This window comes from Homo sapiens, chromosome 8, assembly GCF_000001405.40.
Source record: "Homo sapiens chromosome 8, GRCh38.p14 Primary Assembly".
Taxonomy (NCBI): Eukaryota; Metazoa; Chordata; class Mammalia; order Primates; family Hominidae; genus Homo; species Homo sapiens.
The window spans coordinates 128156899-128177601 of record NC_000008.11 but is presented as its reverse complement, the minus strand read 5'-3'; the positions used below and the strand labels follow the sequence as shown (position 1 = coordinate 128177601).

Below are 20703 nucleotides of genomic sequence, written 5' to 3'. Positions count from 1 at the left end.
TGAGGTCAAAGGAAATGGCCATCTCGGATAACGCAGACTCTTGAAGAGGAAGAAAGTTCCTCTCATTCTGAGATTTTCCTCTATCTGCCTCATAGAGGTCAAGAGAAGGGCAAGAGAAAGCTCCCATGACTTGACTCCTAGGTCTTCACATCCAAGAATGTAGTGGAGGTTTAAATAAATCAGGCTGTAGGCAACAATTCAGACAGGCTCCCCCACATGTTCTATGATTTTTGTTTTGTTTTGTTTTGTTTTGTGTTTTTGTTTTTTTTTTCCCCCTAGTGGATACCATCAGCTGTCTTGTTGCTAAGAGACCAGAGTGGGTGGGAAAGGCCAACAGCCATATTTTTCAAACTTATCCGCAAAACCGGTTTTGCCCTTGCTACCCCAAGGGATTCTACTTCCTTAGGAACAGGATGTTACAACTAGGCAGATGGAGAGAGTGAGACTACATTTTTCGAGAAATGGACTGAGCTTTTCCTGGACATTTGGTGTCATCCAGCAGAGTACTGGGAGCTGCCAATTACAGGTCTGATGCAATGTTTGGGAAACAGCCGCAGAGTACACATGACTCAACAAAATATTACGATTTGCATTCCTATCTCTTGGGAAGTTGCACTTATCAGCACCAACAAGTGCCATGCGGTCAGCGAGAGTGCTGGGCTGAGTTTGTCACTGGAGAATTAAAAAGGAATTAAAAAAAAAAAAAAAACCAAGAAGGGGTTGTGGGGAGGTGAGTGTTTGAATCATTCCGGGACTTTCCTTTCGGGTTGCATTCCAATCAGACAGACCTAAACCTGGCAGAGCCATATCATTGCTCAATGTCAGAAACATTCGCCTGGAATGCGGGGACATGTGAACTTGGACACCCCCTGCAGCTTCCTTGTGTGGCCCAGAATGCTGAATCCACCATAAACACACCATCAGGAGAGCAGAGGCAGAGCCCAGAGCCAGGGTTAGTGGGGAAGTGGCACATTTCATATAAAAGAAGACATAAAAGGTGATGCTCTCGGCAGCATTCCCCGTCTAAGGCCTTTGTACAGGCTCACAATGCACACTGATGACCCAAGCAGAGATGGAAAATGAGCTGGTGCATTTTTTTTTTTTTTTTGCCCTTAGAAAAAATTAAGAATGTGAATTAACTTCCTCCTTCTCTGGGCTTCTACTTGGCAGTCTGAGACAGACCAAAAAAAGAAAAAAAATCCCTATTTCCAAAGAACTCTAAAACTCTAAAAGTGGATATATGTGGACATCAAATTCCCCGCCCTGCCCCTGTCCAGGGACCTTTTCCACCCCAGCTAAGATAGTCAGGGTTCAATCCTTGTCACATGAGTATAAATTAGAACATAAATCAGCATACCCAAAAGCCCATTTACACCTTGCAGCTTGTTCCTGAGCTCAGTCTCCCAGCCAGCAGAGAACTGACCATTGGCAGAGCATTCTGGGTAACTATATGCAAATCACATCACTCCTCCACCCCAATACAGAAGAAAGGAAGGCATCGTAGCCAATCTGCCATTAACAGCAGAAAATAATGGCACAGGGTGCGATGTTCGCAAGGGTCGGAGATACACAGAGTCTAAAAAGTAAAAACAGTCAAGCTAAATCAAATGCATATTATAAACAGGCAGATAGTAAGAATGTGATGGCTTTGTTGTATTTAATTGTCACAACAACCAATGGGATACATACAATAGCTTTTCACATTCACCACTCTGATGATAAACCAGTCAAAACAGCATTGGCAGTCCCTATCACACAGAAGGTATAAACTTACTGCTAAAACAGTGACGATTACTCATGCCAGCTGTCAGAGATGATGCACTCTTTCACATAGGATAGCAATTAGCTGAAATAATCCCAAACCACTGTTGCCCTTAATCCCTAATTGCCTATCTGGGTTTGTGGTTTTGTCTACCAAAACAGACATATAGAGTAGCAAGTGAAAGGGCTTTCCAATGAAGATTCTAGGGTGAGGTTGAGTGTGTCTTTTTGGAAAACTGACAGGTGCACAAAAGATCAGACAGCCAACTGAGGGAGACCAAAGGCAGGATGTTCAAAATTGAGTTTACTGCCCTTTAAACTCTAGAATTAGGGAGGAGATAGAGGTAGGTGGAACAGAAGATAGAATCACAGTAACTGTGAGCTCAGAGCCGATCCCACTATGGTTTTGGTTATGAACTGATTGGGTGACATTAACATTTTATTCATGGAGGCAATATAATGTAGTGTCATAGATATCAGCAGCCTTAGTTCTCCTTTACAATCTGATAACTCTCATTATGTAACATCAGACAAGTCACTTCTTCGTCATGGGACAAAAGAGCTGAACCCAAGATTATACTTAAAGCTATGGCTATGATTCCTACAAAGGCATTTATAAGTTATCTCTCAGAAGACAGAGTTTAATCAGAGTATATGGCAATAGATAAAACAATGAGTCACATTGAAATCTAGATTTGTATTTTGAGAAGGTAGTAAAAGAGTGTGTCAAATTCTCCTTCGTGGCCAGGCGCAGTGGCTCTTGCCTATAATCCCAGCACTTTGGGAGGCCAAGGCAGGTGGATCACCTGAGGTCAGGAGTTCAAGACCAGCCTGGCCAAATGGCAAAACCCTGTCTCTACTAAAAATACAAAAATTTGCCAGGCATGGTGGTGGGTGCTTGTAATCCCAGCTACTTCGGAGGCTGAGGCAGGAGAATCGCTTGAACCCAGGTGGCGGAGATTGCAGTGAGCTGAGATCGTGCCACTGAAGACACAGCAAGACTCGCTCTCAAAAAAAAAAAAACAAAAAAACTCCTTTGCATTGTGCAGGACACACAGAAGAATGTTGTCCCCACAGTGGATTTCCCTTAAATAGGGGTGTGCTTTGACATGTGTCCAGTATAATGGTAATCACTGTCAGGTTAAGCTCTAATAGTGTCTACCGAGCCTTTAGGAAAATTGCCACTAGAAACTTGTCAGCATTATATTGCTAGCATCCAGCACAGTGAAAAGTTGTTGAATAAATGTTTGTTGAGTAAATTGACAGCTCAATGAAACTCAGTTTTGAGTTGAGTTAAAGGTGATATTTCTCTAATGAATATTTGGTCAAGTCAATCAGTCAGGGCCATGACTTTCAACCTCACAATCTTGCCCCTCCTCCTATATTTCCTACATTTGTTAACTCTGTTCCCCCGTTTATGGTTTATGAAATGCCATCCCCCCACATTTGCCTAACAAATTCCTATTCCTATTTTGAAACCTTTCTCAGATGTCTTCTCCTCTGAAAGCCTGTCCTTGCCACAGCCTTGAGGATAACTGTTCACTTCCTCTTTTGTGCCCACACTGATACAAAGAACGCAGTGCCTGGCAGATAGTATTACCTCAATACATTTTGATTAATGGGCAGATGAATAAATGAATGGTCTGCAAGAATGCTGACAATTGAGGTAAATCAATCAATAGCAATTAGGTGCCTATTTGGTGTAAGGCATTGTGTCTCTGACTTTTGTTAGAATCGCATATCACAATAAATGTCTTAAGGCAGGGAGGTAAAGAATCTATGCAATGAAAATCCTTGTAGCTTTTGCTGTGCCTCAATAATCCACTCAGTGCTTTGGATTGGCCCCAATTACTAATATTCTCCAAAACTGAGGAATCAAAGGAGCATTAATGCTAATATTATCCCTGAAATGTTACTCATTGCAAAGTGCTGTGTTCAGCACCATCTCTGAAGGCCTTCCACCCATTCTCAAAAGAAAAAAGAAAGCAGAAGCAACTGCCTTCCTCCTCTGAAATAGTGTTTGTCATTTTCATAAATGTCTTTGACTCATGCAATTTGTCATTCAGGCACATATTTCCTCCTGGGCCTGTGCCCTTTTCTCCTTGAATGGGGAAGGATCATTCTGGCTAAAGGAGACAAGTCCTTCAGGAGAGAGATCTGGTTTGAGGAACTGTCTTCCAAAGCAGAAGTATAATAACTAGAGCTAAAAGCTTTAGCCATATGGAAATGTTAGAATGTCAAGAGGATTCCTGCCATTTCTAAATTCAGTAGGCATCTGAATTTGTTAATATCCAACCCAGGCCAAAAAGTCATGGAAAAACAATTAAGATTGTGGCACCCATTCGACTCTTCTCTCTAGCCAGCATTTTATTTTCATCACAAAAGTGTCACGAACATTCAAGTCATGGACCATTCATAGTGTTGGTGAGGAAGTCTGTACATTTGAACATGCATGTTTCAAATCCCTAATAAAATGTCTAGAAAGATACACAGAGAGCCCTTCACCCTTGGTTGTCTTTGGAGAGACAAAAGAGATTAGAAGAGTAATAAAGAGGAATTTTTACTATTTTCTCTAAGTGTTGCTGTATAATTTGATTTTTTTGTATCATGGACAGGTTGGAAATTTAAAAATAGTAATAAATTTATTAAAATGAGAACATAGGATGAGTTTGGGCCAGCTCCCTTATGTTTCTAACTCTGTAATTTTCCCACCTTTGTCATGGAGCCCCTTGGTACATGAATTTGTTCTCTTGTTCTTTAACATTTATCAGGTCACTCAGTAGGGAGTGAAGGGCTCACAGGGAAGAGATGAGACTAAAACTGATCCCAGCACTGTCTGAGCCATTTCCTTACACAATCTCATTTTCATCCTCCTAAAATTCCCACAAAATAAGTGCTACTGGCTACAGAAAGCTGAACATCCAAGTCATATCACTGATTTTCAGATTTTCTTTCATCTATAAATGAGTGCTTTACATGTCCTTCTATTTTACAGCCTGCTTTTTGCATTTACCAGTACATCATAACCATCTTTTTAAGTAAATGAATTTCATTCCTGTAGTCATTCTTGATGGCTGCTTAGCATTTGTTCATATGGATGTGCTGAAATCAACTCAGCCAAGTCCCTATCACATTTTGAGGATAAGAAAATGAAGTTCAGAGAATTTAGTGAGGTGCTCAGGGCCACATAGCAGGTGAGTAAGAGCAGGAATTAGACTCCTGGTCTGCCAGGGGTCTGGCTCCCACTCTTACAAATGTGCCCCGCATTATGTTCCAAGGACTCCATCCTCCAGCTTCTCCTGGGAGCCCTGGCCAATGACATCCTTGCTGGATCCATCCTGGCACCTTCCCCTATTCATTCTTCCATCAGAAGCACTCACTCTTTCCAGATGAGCAAAAAAAAAAGGAAAATGCAAAGCTCATGCATTTTACTACCCCTGTGGCTCTACAGTGTGATTGGCAACTTTTCACTGCCAAATTATAGTAGAATTTAATCAGCAACTTTTTACTGACAAATTACAAGCTTATTCTCGGACTTCCTCATAGTCATCCACCTGTCTGCTCAATAATAAGTTCACTTAAGTCCAAAAAAATAAGACAAAGCACAACCGGAGAATAGAGGAGACATGGCCAGTATGAAAATATCTGGGGGTTTTAGTCAAAGTGGTTCCAGAATGAGTCAGCAGGGAGATGTGGATGACAGGAAAACAGATTTCCACTTTAACAACATTGAAATAACTCAAGTACTAAGAAGAGGGAAAGTCACCATCCCCTTGAATGTAGCACTGGGACAAGTTCCTTAGCCTCCCTGAGCCTCATTCTCATATAGTGAATGGGAATAATGATAAAAAGCATGCATGTAAATTGCTTCACAAAGTGCCTAGCCCATAGCAAGCACTCCAAAAACAAAGCTAGTTTTATCGCTCTCTCAACAATACTAAAGCAAACTCTATTATATGCCTTACTTTACAAATTATGAAACTCAGGTGATGAAGCTAAGTGGCAGAAAATAGACTAAAACCAAGTCTGTCCGATTTTGAAGTCCATTTTCATAACCACCAAGTTATTACTTCCTCCCTTAATAGAAAATTTAGAACAAGAAAATCCCTCATAATCTCGTGACCCTGAGATAAACACTTTTACTCTTTTAAACACTTTCAGATTTCTCTTCCATATATAAATGAATACTATTATTCAAAATTGGAGATCATGCATTACATTCTATTTTATAACCTGGTTTTTACATTTACTATTACATTGTAACCATCTTTTAGATCAATAAATGTTCATTCCCATAGTCATTCTTGAAGGCCATTAGTTCATACGGATAAGCAGTAATCTGTTCAGCCAGTTCTCTGTTGCTGGACATTTGTTCACAATGTAATCAATACTGCAGTGAAAATCCTTGTTGCTAAGTCTTTGTCTTAGCCATTATAGGTTAAGACAATGTAGATACATTGGAGTTTGTTCTAAACTAGTAATTGGGTGGATGATGGGAGTTTAAGACTCATTCCATGAGAAAAAAAAAAAACGTGGAAAAACTGGCATCCTCCTCTCTGGAAAAGTGAGAGTCCATAGGCTGAAGTGGTGGCATGACAGCTGCCCTCAGATGGCCAGGAAGGTGTTGGTGACACAGTGACTAGACTTTCTCCAAAGGCTCTGAGCAAGTAGGACAAGAAGGCAGCAGACTTCTGATGAAAAACATTTTCTCACAGACTCAATTGTCAAAGGACAGATTAATGTGCCTCAAGGAGTGATAAATGCCACAGGATGCAAGAAGCTCAATTATATGCTAACCTCCCCACTGTGCAGGGATGTTAAAGAAGAAAGCAATCGGTCTTAATTCTTAGGACTGCCTGAACTTTAAGCATCTAAGCTCTATCTCTAACTTACTGACTTGCAATGAAAGTTGGGAACTTACTAAATACCGAGTGCTCTACAACATTATTTCGCTTCGTTCACAGACACTTAATAAAGAATGAGGCACAAGAAGGAAACCTAACTTTTTTCAATGAACACAGCTAGTAAGTCTTGGGAACTTAAACCTGTACATTTCTGGTGCCCAAGCCCATGCAGTTTGGTCCAGTGATTAAAAGCATGGATTTTAGAGGAGAACAGACACAGGTCAATAGTAAACCTTCACTTGCTGTCTGGGCAAACTTAAGCAAGTGATTCAGACTCTCTGAACCACAGTGTCTCATCAGTGGCTGCAGGATAATAACACTCACTTCTGAGTATGGCTGTGAAGGTTGACGGAGTTGACTTATGTAAAATGCTCATTACTATGCCTAGTACAAGTGAAGCACTCAATAAATGTTAGGCAACATTAGCTAGTTGGCATGTGCTGAGAGGTTTAGGAGAAGAAAATTAAGGGTTGCATACTTGGTTCCATAATGTGTTCATCCGTCTCTAAAATGAGTTCATCTGTGTTTTTCCATGAAGTGTTTAAGTGGCCTGGCTTCCAGAGCAAAAATCTTAAACATTGACTTACCCGTGCCATTCATTTGTTCATGGCTGGGCACTGGGCTAGGTGCCATGACTATGAAATGAATGGGCAAGACAATTATAGTGTCTGCCCTCATGGAGCTTCAGCTTCCTGGAGAAGACAGATCTTAACACATGACAATGATCAAGGATGAGAAGGGTACTATAGGCGAAAAGAGGGATGCTATGGAAACAATTTGCAGGGCTCCTCACTTTGTCAAGGGGAGTTCAAGTAGGCTTCATAAGTGAGTGATATCTAAGCCGGGCCCTACAGGAAGAAGAGGTAGAACAGAGAACAAGGTGTCTGGTGAACAGAATTACTTAAGGATCAAGCACAGAGGGGTGAGAAGTCATGGAGCAAGTCCATAAAGCTCATCAGGAGCCCCTTTTACAGCAAGTGCACTTTACTGTGAGGAGAATGTGGACTCATGGTGTGGAGGCTTAAGCAAAGAAGTAATATGAAGAGACAAGCATTTAGAGAGCTCATATGGGTATAAGAATGGATGAAGAGAGAAGCCTGGAGGGAGAGGCTTCTGGAAAATAGTAGTGACTTCAAAAAGAGAGTGGCAATGGGACCCAGAAAGTGGTCAGATTGGGGAAACCATTAGGAGCAGTGTCAGCCAAGCACATTCATTCTGGATGTAAACCTAGAGCATCTGCATGAACAGGGTTTTCTGTCTGGGTTTGGTGTGGGTCTTAACATGGTAGCTTGCACTAGGATTTTAAAAAGCCAAACAAAGAAATATTTTGGTGTCAGACTTTTTCAACTCTTCTTCTTTGAATCCACATGTTTAAATAAGAGGAATTAAGAAGATTCCTTGGTAGGCAAAGCAGAATGATTTCTAGGCTCTGGCCCCAAAGGTGTGCTTCTACAGATCTCCAGCCTCGAGCCAGCTCAGGGGATGGAGAGGATCGGGGAGCTGGAAGAATCAGGAAAACCAGTTCTTAATAATAATAGGTAGCCTCTGTATAATAACAGCTTCTGGCTTACAGAGTACTTTCACAGGCATTATCTTATTTGATTCTCACAGTAAATGGAACTGTGGGGAGGTAGGTGGGGAGAAATAGGGCAATTAGCATTAGCCCCACCCTTCCAAATATGAACACTTGTGGCTCAGAGACAATAAGTGATTTGCCCAAGATTATAAAACTGCTGAGTAGTGGGGCTGGGAATGAGAGTTTTATGACTCTCAGTTCAGTGCCTCAGCGCCCTGTGTTATAGCTATTTTGGTGGAGGGAGAGTGGTTCATTATGCCTACTGAGAAAGATAGCATATATTTACTCATTAACACCTAAGAACAGCAAGGCCAAGGCTAGAAGAGGATCTCCAAGCAGATGAGGTACAAAACAGGACAGTTTTGAATGGAGTGAGCAGAGGATACTCATAAAAAGAGTGCACACACTCAGTGCATGCCCAGTCTGGGGCAGGCTGGGTGTACTAGAGGCAGGAAACCACTAGCACTTGTCTGAATCCAAGGAAATTACATTAGGTGAGGAATGGAGTGAGGAAGGAAGAGTAGGCACTCCACACAAGAATCTGGGGGCCTCTGGTCGGCGAGTCCTACAGCCGAGTCTGAAGGCCCACCCAAAACTCAGGAAGCAAAAACAAATTCCACAGATTCACCAACTCTGAGCAGGAGCATTCAGTAAAGAGACCTTACTCTGGTGCCTGTTCATGTCACCAAAGAGTTGATAAGAAAAAAGACCTGAGACTGTGTGTCTGTACAATTCAGTAAAATCCTCAAAGCAGAAACCTGGCCCATGTAGTCCTGCTAGCACCAGGGTCTGGCAGCTGCCCAGGAAGTTGTGAAAGGGTTTAGTTTCAAGAGCAATTGAGCTATGCCCTCCAGCCCTGGAGAACCACAGAAAGTAATTTTGCAGGAATGATCCACAATAGCCAACCAGGAAGAAGGAAAGAGAAAACCGTTCCCAGAATCTGCTGGAGACCTCTATCAAAATGACCCTGCCATCTACATCTTGAAGGGTAAGAATGAGGGCACACAGACCCAAACCAAAGGCACTCTTAGTCCTTACTGCACATCACTGTACCCCAAATTTTCTGCAAAGTCCTTTATGTTTAACACCATTCCATTCTCACAACAACCCTACATTATGTTGAGGAAACTGAGACCCAGAGTAGATGTGGTCTCTGCTCAGGGTCCCATAGCTAGTGAACTACAGAGCTGGGATTTTCCAGGAGGTCTGGTAGCTCAGAGCCCACATTCTTTCCACTCCTCACAAAGCCTTGTGAGTTTATGTGCTTGAAATAACATTGGAGGGAGAGAAGAGGAAGGGAGCATGGAGCACAGTGGAAATTGTGTCTTAAGCCACCACCCTGACTCACTCCTTAATTAAGCAGGGAATTGCAGCTGAGGTGTCTGCTTTTAAAGGGTGGGGGGGGGCGGTTCTAGAATACCAGTGCTTATGAAGGGGAATCCAGGCTGCCAGTGACTGAGGCATGATTCAGCATGGTGACTTCCAGATCAAAGAGGAAGCTAAACCAGCAGCAGCCCCAGATACAAGTAGAACAGTGCCCATGCTATCTGACATTTCTGAGACCCGTTGTGGCTCCCTGCTTCCATCTCCAGCCTCGTTTCAAACTAAGATGCAAATGGCTGCAGTTTTGTTCTAGGATGCCCATATCAGGAGCCCCATGTGGCCTTTGGCCTTTGCTCCTGAAGTGGTCCCCATCAGGAATGTTCTTGCTCTTCTCTCTGCCTCTCTGACTCTGAGTCATATTTCAAAGATAACCCCCTCAGTTCCCTTTTGTTCGACCAGATTTGTTTACCCTAGTCTGTTTACTTATGGATTCATCCTATCATTCATTTAGCCAATATTTGCTAAGCACCTTCTATTCTTGGGTTCTGTGGAGATATTAGGATGCAGTGTTTAAAAGAAAATTCAACTCAATCCAGTAAGTGTTTAAGATGCTCACCTGGTGTGTCCATCCTGGTTTTAGTCCCCATGAAGAAGGCAGAGGAGCATCGTCCAGAGGAGACCTGACCTGCACCTACTCAACTCCTGTCCTCATTGCCACATAGGAATAAGAAATACATGGCAATAGAGGGTAATAAGAGTAACAACAAGAGCTTGGAAGATGCTTCCCTGTTATAGAAATGTTTAACTTCTCTGGTCTATCGAGGGGTGGGAAGGCCTCCAAAAGCAGGTTGCAATCTAGATGTGTTTGAAATGATGAGTGAGATGAATGAACAGCTGGAATCAAGAAACCTGGGTTCTGGTGCATAGTCTGCCTCTGTCTGTGCTGACTTGGAGCAAATCATCTCATCTCTTTGGATCTCATGAGGGGGTTGGAGTGGCACAACGACGAAGGTCTGTCTTGCCTGAGCTCTGATCTTCATATTGAGTAACTTCATATTAACTTCATATTGCTCATCTTGCATCTCCAGGCTTCCATTTCCTTGTCTGTAAAATGAAGATGCTAATAGCCAAACCTTGAGACTCTAGAAGATTCAACAGGAGAATGTACAGAAATACAAACATGCTGAGCCCTGTGAAGGGATGAGTAGGTGCAGGTCAGGTATCCCCTGGACGATGCTCCTCTGCCTTCGTCATGGAGACTGGAACAAGGATGGACACACCAGATGAGCATCATCAACATGTGCTAGATTGAGTTGAGATTTCTTTTTCACACACACAACACACAGTCAGAGACATAGAGTTATTATCATCTCATCTCAGAATACTCTCCTCCTTCATTTCCATCAAAGCACTGAACTCCTCTGTCTAAACCCTGCTCCACCAGCAGCCCCAGCAGCATTGCTCCCAGGCCCTTCACTTGCTCTCCTTTGTGGGTTCTTACGTTGCATACATGCTGAGCACAAGGCTTTGGGGGAAGGCAGTGTTGAGAATTAAATTCTTCCTAACTGTATGATTTAAACTCACTGGGCCTCAGTTTTCTCACCCATAAGGTAGTAGAAATAATATACCTACATTATGGGATTCTTTTGAGAATTAAGTAAGACAATCCATGAAAAGTGTGTGGCAGAGTGCCTGCACGTGGTAAGTGCCTGATACACGTTAGTTGCTGCTATTCCTACTCTGTCAATCACTCACAGTGTGAGTTTGACCAAGTGACTTCACCTCTCCATGCTTCTATCTTTTAGGATTACTATGAGGATTGGGTAAATTAAAGTATATAAAACAGTTCCTAGCATACATAAACACTACAGTGTGAGCTATCATTGTATCATTGTCATTATTTTTATTATTACTTTTTGCACACAACTTACTTTTATTAATAACTCCTATTATTTCAAGAAGACTTTTAGCTCATTGATTTTAAAACAATGGCTGCAAATTCTTAAACTGTCTTCCCATGGAGAAGCGGAGTCTATATTCCCTCTCCTCGAATCTGGGCAGGTTTAGGATAGCTTTGACTAATAGAGTAGAACATAAATGACACTGTGTGACTTTTAAAGCTGGGTGATAAAAGGTCATGTTCTTCTGCCTTGTTTGCTGGAACACTTCATTTTGGAGCTCTAAACAGCCATGTGGGAAGTATGACCATCTTGAAGCCACCATGCTTGAAGCAAGCTCAAGCTACATCTAAGGGCCATCTGTAGGCACCTGGTAGCCAGTTCCAATTGATTTCTGGCTTCCAGTTAACCTAGTAGAGAAATCCCACCCCTCAGTTATTTGAACAATCCCCAGCCATTCAAGTCTTCCTAGCTGAAGCCCCAGATAGCCTGCAGCACAGACAGGCTATTCTTGCTGTGCTTTGTTCAAATCCATGGAATCCTGAAGAATCTGTGAGCATAATATATGGGTGTTGTTTTATACCACTAAGGTTGGGGTGGTTTATTTTATAGCAACAAATAGCAGGAATTAACTTGTTTGATAAGCCTGTGATCTATCAGAGACTTCACCAAGATTTATAGAGACCAGTTTGATATCTGTCTATGTTCCAGCTTCCTCAAAGACTTTCTCAGTATCTCTCTTATACTCTCCAGGAGTCTCAGTCACACCCCTCACTATTTCATATCTTAATGTTTTATGGGCATCCCAATGGGCTCCATGCCTGTTTGCAAAATCTTCATCTTTATTCAATGAGTTCTCAGGTCAGATCATGTTTTCTATTTTATAGATACTAAAGCAGAGGCTAAGAAAAATTAACTGACTTGTCCAATGTCATCCAGGTGTTTTGTAGGATGCCTGACTCCCCCTCCAGTGCTTTTTCTACTACAATCTGTCACAATCACAGGGATAAAAATTGTCAAACCTCTATATTCTGCGTCTGAAGTGGGGGAAAAAAATCATCCTGGAGCCAGAGGGATTACCAACTCCTTGAAAAAGTCTAAGCTTCATTTCTTTATAAGCCCTACAGAACTGTCACCCAGCCTGCCTCTGCAGAAACAACCTCTTAGTGGCTTAATCAGAATGACAGCCAAGCATTTGCTTCAGAATAAAATGCTGCAATTACTCTTAGGTAATAGGTGCTTGGGTGCTTATGTGTGTGTATAAAGCACTTTAGCTAATATTGTCAGTCACCACAGCACCTAGAAATCCTGAGTCCTGCCCAGCCATCCACTGCCCCCTCATTCTTTCCCATTCCCCAGGACCAAAACACAATGAAGATTTGTAATTGTGTACTAGTGAAACAGCACTTCAAACACACACACACACATACGCACGCACACACAATTTCTTCAAAGCCCTGATTTGTAACACTGCCAGTTTCCAGGACATAAACACTTTCACCATGTTCATTTCATGTTAGCGACATGAGGAGCTGGGAAGATGTGAGCATAATAGGCTCTTATGAACCAATGAGTCAGTTTCAGTGCACCAATGAGCCTCACTTCTCACTCTGCTGAAACATAACCACAGAGTCAAGCTGCCACACTGGTTTTGTCTCTTTACTAGTTTGCCTTCTGCAAATTGTCCCCAAAGACCAGTGCTCAGGGAAAAATGTATTCTCAGTACATTGAAGGAGCCATTTTCTGCTAGAACACAACTCATACAAGATTAGAACATTTGTCTGGTGTAGTTATTGCTTGTTCATTCATGCACTGTTTTTATGGGACTTAAAGCTGTTGATAATTCAAAAAATAACTCTTGCATTAGCAGAATTCAATACTCTGCATTTTGGCTTGGAAGCCTAGCATCTACTCAGCCTTTGAGCCCCTAAGACATACAGTTCTACCCGAGATCCTAATGTAAAGAAATGTAGAATGATAAAATCCTTAAAAAAGTACCTACACTAATTCAGTATATACTGTGTGCCGGACATTGTTCTAGACACCATGGCAATACAACCATGATTAAAATAAGGTCTCTTGCAGAATGAACTTTGATTCAAGTGGAGGAGATAGGTGATAAACAAGTCAACAGGGAAATGAACAAGATGAAGTCATATATTGTCAAATGTTGAAAAAAATATAAAAGGGTGAGGTGAGAAAGTGTGGTATGACTTTAGATTAGGTAATCAAGGACAGCCTCTCTGAAAAGGCAACATCCGAGCTGAGACTTGAATGGCAAGGAGGAGCCAGCCTTGCCAAGAGCAAGGGGAGGAAAGAGCTTGGTGTGTTAGATGAAGGGAAAGGAAACCTCCGTGGCTGGAGAGGTCAGAAAGTCAGAGAGTGCTCAGCTTTATGAGAAACAGTAAGATGTTGGGATGTCATTCCAAGTATGATATGTTGACAATTGGAGGGTTTAACTCAAGAAGTACATAATGTATACTTATGAAGAAGGTCTGGCTGCTGTAGAGAAAAGAATGAGTGGAGGTGTGAGATGATGGAGAATGAATTGATTGAAACAGAGTGAGAGTGATACATATGGGAAGAAGAGAGTGGAGTAGAGTATATTTTGGAGGTAAGGATAGGAGGACCTGATATTGCCTGGACATGGTGTCGTGACCACTCTTGTTCACTCTCTTGCTCCAGGTGCAATGGGAACATTCCACAAATGTCTTTAACACACAGTGAGTGAGCACCTAATGCATGAATGCATCAAGCTAGGACGAGGAACTCTGCAGTTAAAGTGGCAGGGCCACTAGCTTATTGGGGAGACAGGCACATAAACAAATGACTTTAATATAAGGTGGTGAGTATCACAACAAGGCTATGTCTAAATCACCGTGGGATATGGCAATGGACTGTATCTGCAGGAGTACCAAGAAGGATTTCAAAAAGGCAGTAGCATTTCAGCTGGATATGGAGTGACAAGCATAGGATTTTTATGAGGATAAAGAGCCAGACAATGCAGGGAACTACTTCCAGTGACAATAGTGCCGGTGACAGGATGCTAGGCCCAGAAGAATAACACAAGTTGGAGGAAGCTGATGGGAAGATGAAGAAGAAAATCCACTGCACTGGTCTTTGAGAAGACAACCTGAAAATATAGTAAGCTGAGTAACTTTGATTGAGGAAATGGCTAGGACCATTCTAGACCTCCTGGGACCTCAGCTGTGTACTAGTCACCATTGAAAGACACTTCAATTCATTTCTTCCTTTTGATATTAATAACTGTCTTCTCTGCTCCTCACCACGAATCAGCCACCAACATACCATATGTGAACACCATCTCTGGGTCCTACTCCGAGTGTCCCCTGGGGCATCTTAGGCCTTGCTGGTGTATGTGGCCAGTGATACTGCCATAATAATTACAACTATTTATTGAATGCCTGCTCTGTGATCAGGCTCTGTGACATTCTCCCACTGATCCTCATAAACCTCTGCAAGACAGGAATTATAATTCCCAATTTACTGACAGTAATTGCTGTCATGGAGTGAAAGCTTAGCATGTGCCAGGCACTATACCAAGTATCTTCTGAGTATAAACATATTTCATTCATGCAACAGTGTGATGAATAGGCATTTTGTTAGTTCCATTTTACAAATAAGAATATCAAGATTCAGACCGGGCGTGTTGGCTCATGCCTGTAATCCCAACACTTTGGGAGGCCAAGGGGGGCAGATCACCTGAGGTCAGGAGTTCAAGACCAGCCTGGCCAACATGGTGAAACCCGTCTCTACTAAAAAATACAAAAATTAGCTGGGCTTGGTGGCAGGTGCCTGTAATCCCAGCTACTCGGGAGTCTGAGACAGGGAGAATCGCTTGAACCCTGGGAGACAGAGGTTGCAGTGAGCCAAGATCGCGCTACTACACGCCAGCCGGGGTGACAGAGTGAGACTCCATCTCAAAAAATAATAATAATAATAACAGCAAGATACAGAGAGGGGTCAAGTAACCTCCTGAGTTTAGCAACTGGGGATCTGGATTTCAAACCCAGGTCTACCTTACTCCAAAGTTCATCTATAACATGTTAGTTTGACATGCTAGATAGACAAGACCCAAAAATGACCTAAAGTCAGAGTTTGGGATAACTATATAACTGCTTTGCCTCTGTCATATACTGAAGCACAGGGCTGATTTGGGGACTGCTGTCTCTCTGGACTCTGGTTTTGTTACTTTGCCCTGATGAGGCTTCAATGCCACGTCACTAAAGGTCCTCACTCTTCCTTTGTGGCAAGCTTCTAATTCCGGATGGCTGTAAAAGGTGGGAAACAGGTGTGCCCCACATTCCTACTCCTGCAGCTCAGCTGGACACAGGGTTATACTCCGCTTGCTCCCTTCCTCACACCTCTGAGTTCAGAAATGCCACATGCCAATGTCAAATGCACATGACAGTGATGGTTCCCCCCCCATCAAATGCTGTGTAAGATTCACTGCAACAAATAGCTTAGAAAAAAGTAAATTTTTCAAACTAACATTAGAGAAATCCATAATCTGACAGACTCTGTGAACAGGTTACTGAAATCTGTTTCCTCTTGCTCCTGGGCACAGAGATTGACTACATTTCCCCTTCTTCCTTGTAGTTAGGTGTGGTCACATGGCTGGGCTCTACCCAGTGGGAAAGGAGCAGATGAGATAGGCACCACTTCCTGACCTGGCCCTTATAAACCTCCCTTGGGTGACCTCCTTCATGTTCTATTCCTTCTAGGTCACTGGGATAGATACCAGGGTGGTCTCCAGAGCCACCTTTGGGAGGTAGATAGCATAAGCACCATCAGTTAGGGTCTCTGACTGACCGCACTGAGCAGATTGCTCAGCTCTTAGTCCACAGAACCACCCTAACACCTACTCAAATCCTTATACTTCTAAAACTAGATTGTAATTACTTATCCATGAATTTTTATAGCCAGTGGAATATGAGCTCACTGAATACAGTCATTATTCATGTTTAGATCTTCATAGTCTAATACAACATCTGGGAAAAAAAAGTGGTACCCAATACAGCTTTACTTAATCATTAGTGTTAGCTGCCTTTGTTAAATTCATGAGCTGCTTCTGTTTTTTTTTGTTTATTTGTTCGTTTTCATAAACCAGATTGGGCAAGAATTAGCATACCCACAGGTGGATGCTTGCATTTCATCCTAAGAGTATAATCACTTAGTATAAGCTTTGAACTCTCATTGCATACAAAGGGCTCTAAAAGTTTGTGAGTCATGGATACCTTTGTGCAGTAGGGAAACTGGAGTCATCTCCACTGAGAGCCTGAGAGATTTGAAAACCCTGGAAGTAGAGGAAACTTCTACTTCTGGCCAAATTGGAGTAACAGGGATGAGATCTGCCTTTTCACCTAACAAAAAAAAAATGGACAAAATATGAACAATAGTTTGGAAAACACTTGACGTCAGGCAACAAAGGACAATAACACATACCTGAGGCATGGTATGGAAATATAAAGAATGTTGACTGGAAAGGCAAAGGCTGGGGGTTCTAGCTCAGGTGAGTCCTATGATTGCCCCAGATGACCACCTCGAGAATTTTTCCAGGTCTCAGCACAGGGAGTGGGATCTAGGCAGAGCCCAGCAGGCAGGCTGAGTTGGGGAGACAAAGGTGAGTCCAAGTAGAACAATGTAGCTGGAGCTCACAGACCCCGGAACGAGACAGAAAAGAGCTGCCCAAAGAACTGCAGAAGTCTGCACTACATACCTATTAGAATAGCTAACATGGGAAAGACTAACCATATTCAGCATTGGCAAGGGTGTAGAGAAACTGTAACTCTCCTACACTGTGAGTGGAAATGTAAAATGGTACAACCACTTCGGAAAACAGCTTGGCAGCTTCTTAAATAGTTACACATCCACCTACCACATGTTCCAGCCACTCTACTTTAGGGTATTTTCACAAATGAAAGCATATGTCCAACAAAAATTTGTACAAGAAGGCTCATAGCAACTTTGTTTGAGATAACCAAAAACTGGAAACAATCCATATATCCAACAACAGACAAATGGATCTGCAAATCATGGTACATACATACAATGGAATACCACAGAGCAACAAAAAGGAATGAATGATTGATACATGCTACAACATGGATGAATTGCAAAATAATTACGCAGAGTGAAAGAAATCACATGCTAAAGAGTATATGATGGTTAATTCTTTGTATATAAAATTCTAGGAAGTGACAACTAATATCACTAATATCACAGTGACAGAAAGCAGAACATTGGTGCCTTGGGGGTGAGGGGACAGGAAGGTTAATAGGGACAGCCTGGAAGAAGAGATTATAAAGGGGCAAAAGAAAATTCTGGGGGTGATTGGCATGTTCATTATCTTAATTTCATGGATGTAGACATATGTCAAAACTTACCAAACTACACACTTTCAATTTAAGTATAAAATATACACACTTAAATAACGCTGTTTGTTTTAAGAAAACCCTGGGATTAAAAGACATAGGGATATAGGTGTCAATTATAATGAAAGCTTTTTTTTTTTTTTTTTTGAGACAGGGTCTTGCACTGCCACGCAGGCTAGAGTGCAGTGGCATGATGTTGGCTCACTACAACCTCTGCCTCCCGGGTTCAGGTGATTCTCCTGCCTCAGCCTTCCCAGTAGCTGGGATTGCAGGTGCATGCCACCACCCCCAGGTAATTTTTTGTATTTTTACTAGAGACAGGGTTTCACCATGTTGGCCAGGCTGGTCTCGAACTCCAGACCTCAAGTGATCCACCCGCCTCAGCCTCCCAAAGTGCTGGGATTACAGACGTGAGCCACTGCTCCTGGCCTATAATGAAAGCCTCTTAGTCTTGTGTAAAATGGTCTTCTGTACTATCCCAGAAACACTCACATCGAGGCATCTGCTGGGGCTTCCCCAGAGGTGACTAGTGGGGAAAAAAAGAGTATCAGTTGATATTGGTTGAGGAAGAAAAAGACCTGGGTTCTAGCTCAGACTGTTCCTTTACACATTGTGTAACTTCACATGGAGCTGTCCCAAAACTTGGTTGGGAAGGAACTAAGCTCTTATTTTTAAAAAGCAAGAGGAGATAATGGAGAGCATGATTTTGCAAACCAGACACACATGGATTTGTTTTTGTACCTTGTCACTGAAGAGAAACACCCATAGACGAGTGCAGGAAGCCAAAGTGTATGGTGATAAATTTTTACACACTGAAATTCTCTCCTGAGGTGCCCACATCCAGATCAAGAATCAGGACATTACCAGGCCCCCAGGAGCACCGCCTCATGCTCCGTTTCAGTCACTACATACATCAAACAAACCTCAATTTGAATTCAGCCTCCACCACTCATTGGCCATCTGACTTTCAGCACATTTTCTCTTTCATAAAGTGGAATTCATAATCCCAATTTGACAGATTTTATTTTTTGAAGAATAAAATGAAATCGCAGGTTTAAATCACCTACCACAAGGTCTAACATGTCAGAGGGTTTTATACACAGGAGTTTCCTTCCCGAGGAGAAGCTTGGAAGGGCCAGACTCCAAGGGGCAGGAGACAGTAGAGGACTCAGAGAATCCTAAGTTGCATCAGGGGCACACCTGTGGGTGAATCACTTTGCCATTCTGGGTTCCAACTCCAATCCCATGAAACGAAGGCCCTGTAAACACTGGGTTCAATATGGTACTCCTTCAGGATACCTTGCCAGGGATACAAGGATGAATAAGACATGGCCCTCACCCTTTGAGAGTTTGGAAGTCAGAGCTCTCTAGTTCTGATCCGCTGTGAGTTTGAATTTCAGTTTCTGTAAAATTGTGTAAATATATGTAAGTGTACAAATGGGGAGATCAGTGCCATCCTTAAGGATGGTTCATCACAAGTACCAAAAGCTTTTATTTATTTTTATTTTATTTTATTTTGAGATGGAGTCTAGCTCTGTCACCCAGTGGTTCAATCTCGGCACACTGCAACCTCCGCCTCCTGAGTTCAAGTGATTCTCCTGCCTCAGCCTCCCAAGTAGCTGGGATTATAGGCACCCACCACCACGTCCAGCTAATTTTTGTATTTTTAGTAGAGACAGGGTTTCACTTTTTTGGCCAGGGTAGTCTCGAACTCCTGACCTCGTGATCTGTCCTCTTCGGCCTCCCAAAGCGCTGGGATTACAAGCGTGAGCCACCACGCCCGGCACAGAAAAATTTTACAACCAGCATCTCGCCTCACACTCCCAAGTCAGAAACTCTAGAGTTAGACCCCAGAAATGAGTATGTGTTGCTAATCCCCCAGGTGATTCGGACACAAGGGGTCTACACAGAGCACATGGGAACCACAGTGAAGGAGCCGGGATGATGGAAGTTGTACTGAGCCCAGGACATACATTGCCAAGTTAATCATTACTAATAAATCTCTAAGGCCAATTTGCATCCTCTTCATGTGCCTCTTTTCCCTAAGGCATACCAAAAATATACTCTCCTTAATTAAGAATATCCAGTTACTTGAGCTCCAAACAAGTCATTTCTTCTTTCAAACCAGGATCTAAGTTCCCCATCCCTACTGAACATCAGCTATCAGAAATGATTTGCCTGTTTCTCAGCAGCAACTGATCATGACATGACAAGCCTGTCCTGGGGCCTCCTCTGAATAAACAGCACACAGCACTGAGAACAAATTGTTCTGTCAACAGCAGGCTGCTAGCACGGACAACTCTGTACACCTGTTGTCACAAGTGCTAATGATAAGTGACACTCATCACTGAGGATGTCTGAAACAGCCTTCCCAAAAGAATGGACAGTTGCATCCAATTTCTAGCCTTGAATTATACAAAATAAAGAATAATAATTAATAATTATAATAATAACAATAGCCAGCATTCACAAGGCATGGATCATATGCTCAGATACTTCTGGGCACTTTTAGTGTGTTATTTCACTTACTCCCTGGTATAGAATGAATTATTGATTTCAGTTCTTCATCTTTCATTTTTCCCTTTTTTACATTCTTTGCCATGTGACTTATAGTTATCCCTAAAGGTGGGGCGTATTTCCCCACTTCTTCCCCTCAGGCAAACCTAGGCTACATCAGCTAACCACAGATGTTTCAGTAAGAATAAATGGTTCAAATTAGTGGATAGGAAGCCACTTACATGGTGACTTGTTACATAACAACGACCGACCAATTCCATCTCCTAGAACAGTGATCGGCAAACCAAGGTCTGGGCCTAGGCTCTGTTTTTTGTCTTTTGTTTATTTTT

General features: G+C 42.4%; 1 long non-coding RNA gene across 1 annotated transcript in view, besides 2 other annotated features; it reads right to left on the bottom strand.

Annotated features, from left to right (window-relative positions):
* The window catches only part of LOC124902020 (uncharacterized), a 35839-nt gene that overhangs the window by 9161 nt on the left and 5975 nt on the right, over positions 1-20703 (bottom strand). The window lies entirely within an intron of this gene.
* Positions 405-699: an enhancer, noted in NCBI's record as "tiled region #6197; HepG2 Activating DNase unmatched - State 5:Enh, and K562 Activating DNase unmatched - State 5:Enh". NCBI's record gives its function as "activates a minimal TATA promoter and a strong SV40 promoter by Sharpr-MPRA in HepG2 and K562 cells {active_cell/tissue: HepG2 | K562}" and the evidence as "EXISTENCE:reporter gene assay evidence [ECO:0000049][PMID:27701403]".
* Positions 9233-10432: an enhancer, noted in NCBI's record as "CDK7 strongly-dependent group 2 enhancer chr8:129179416-129180615 (GRCh37/hg19 assembly coordinates)". NCBI's record gives its function as "activates an origin of replication core promoter dependent on BRD2, BRD4, P300/CBP, MED14 and CDK7 cofactors, with strong dependence on CDK7, by STARR-seq in HCT116 cells {active_cell/tissue: HCT116}" and the evidence as "EXISTENCE:reporter gene assay evidence [ECO:0000049][PMID:35650434]".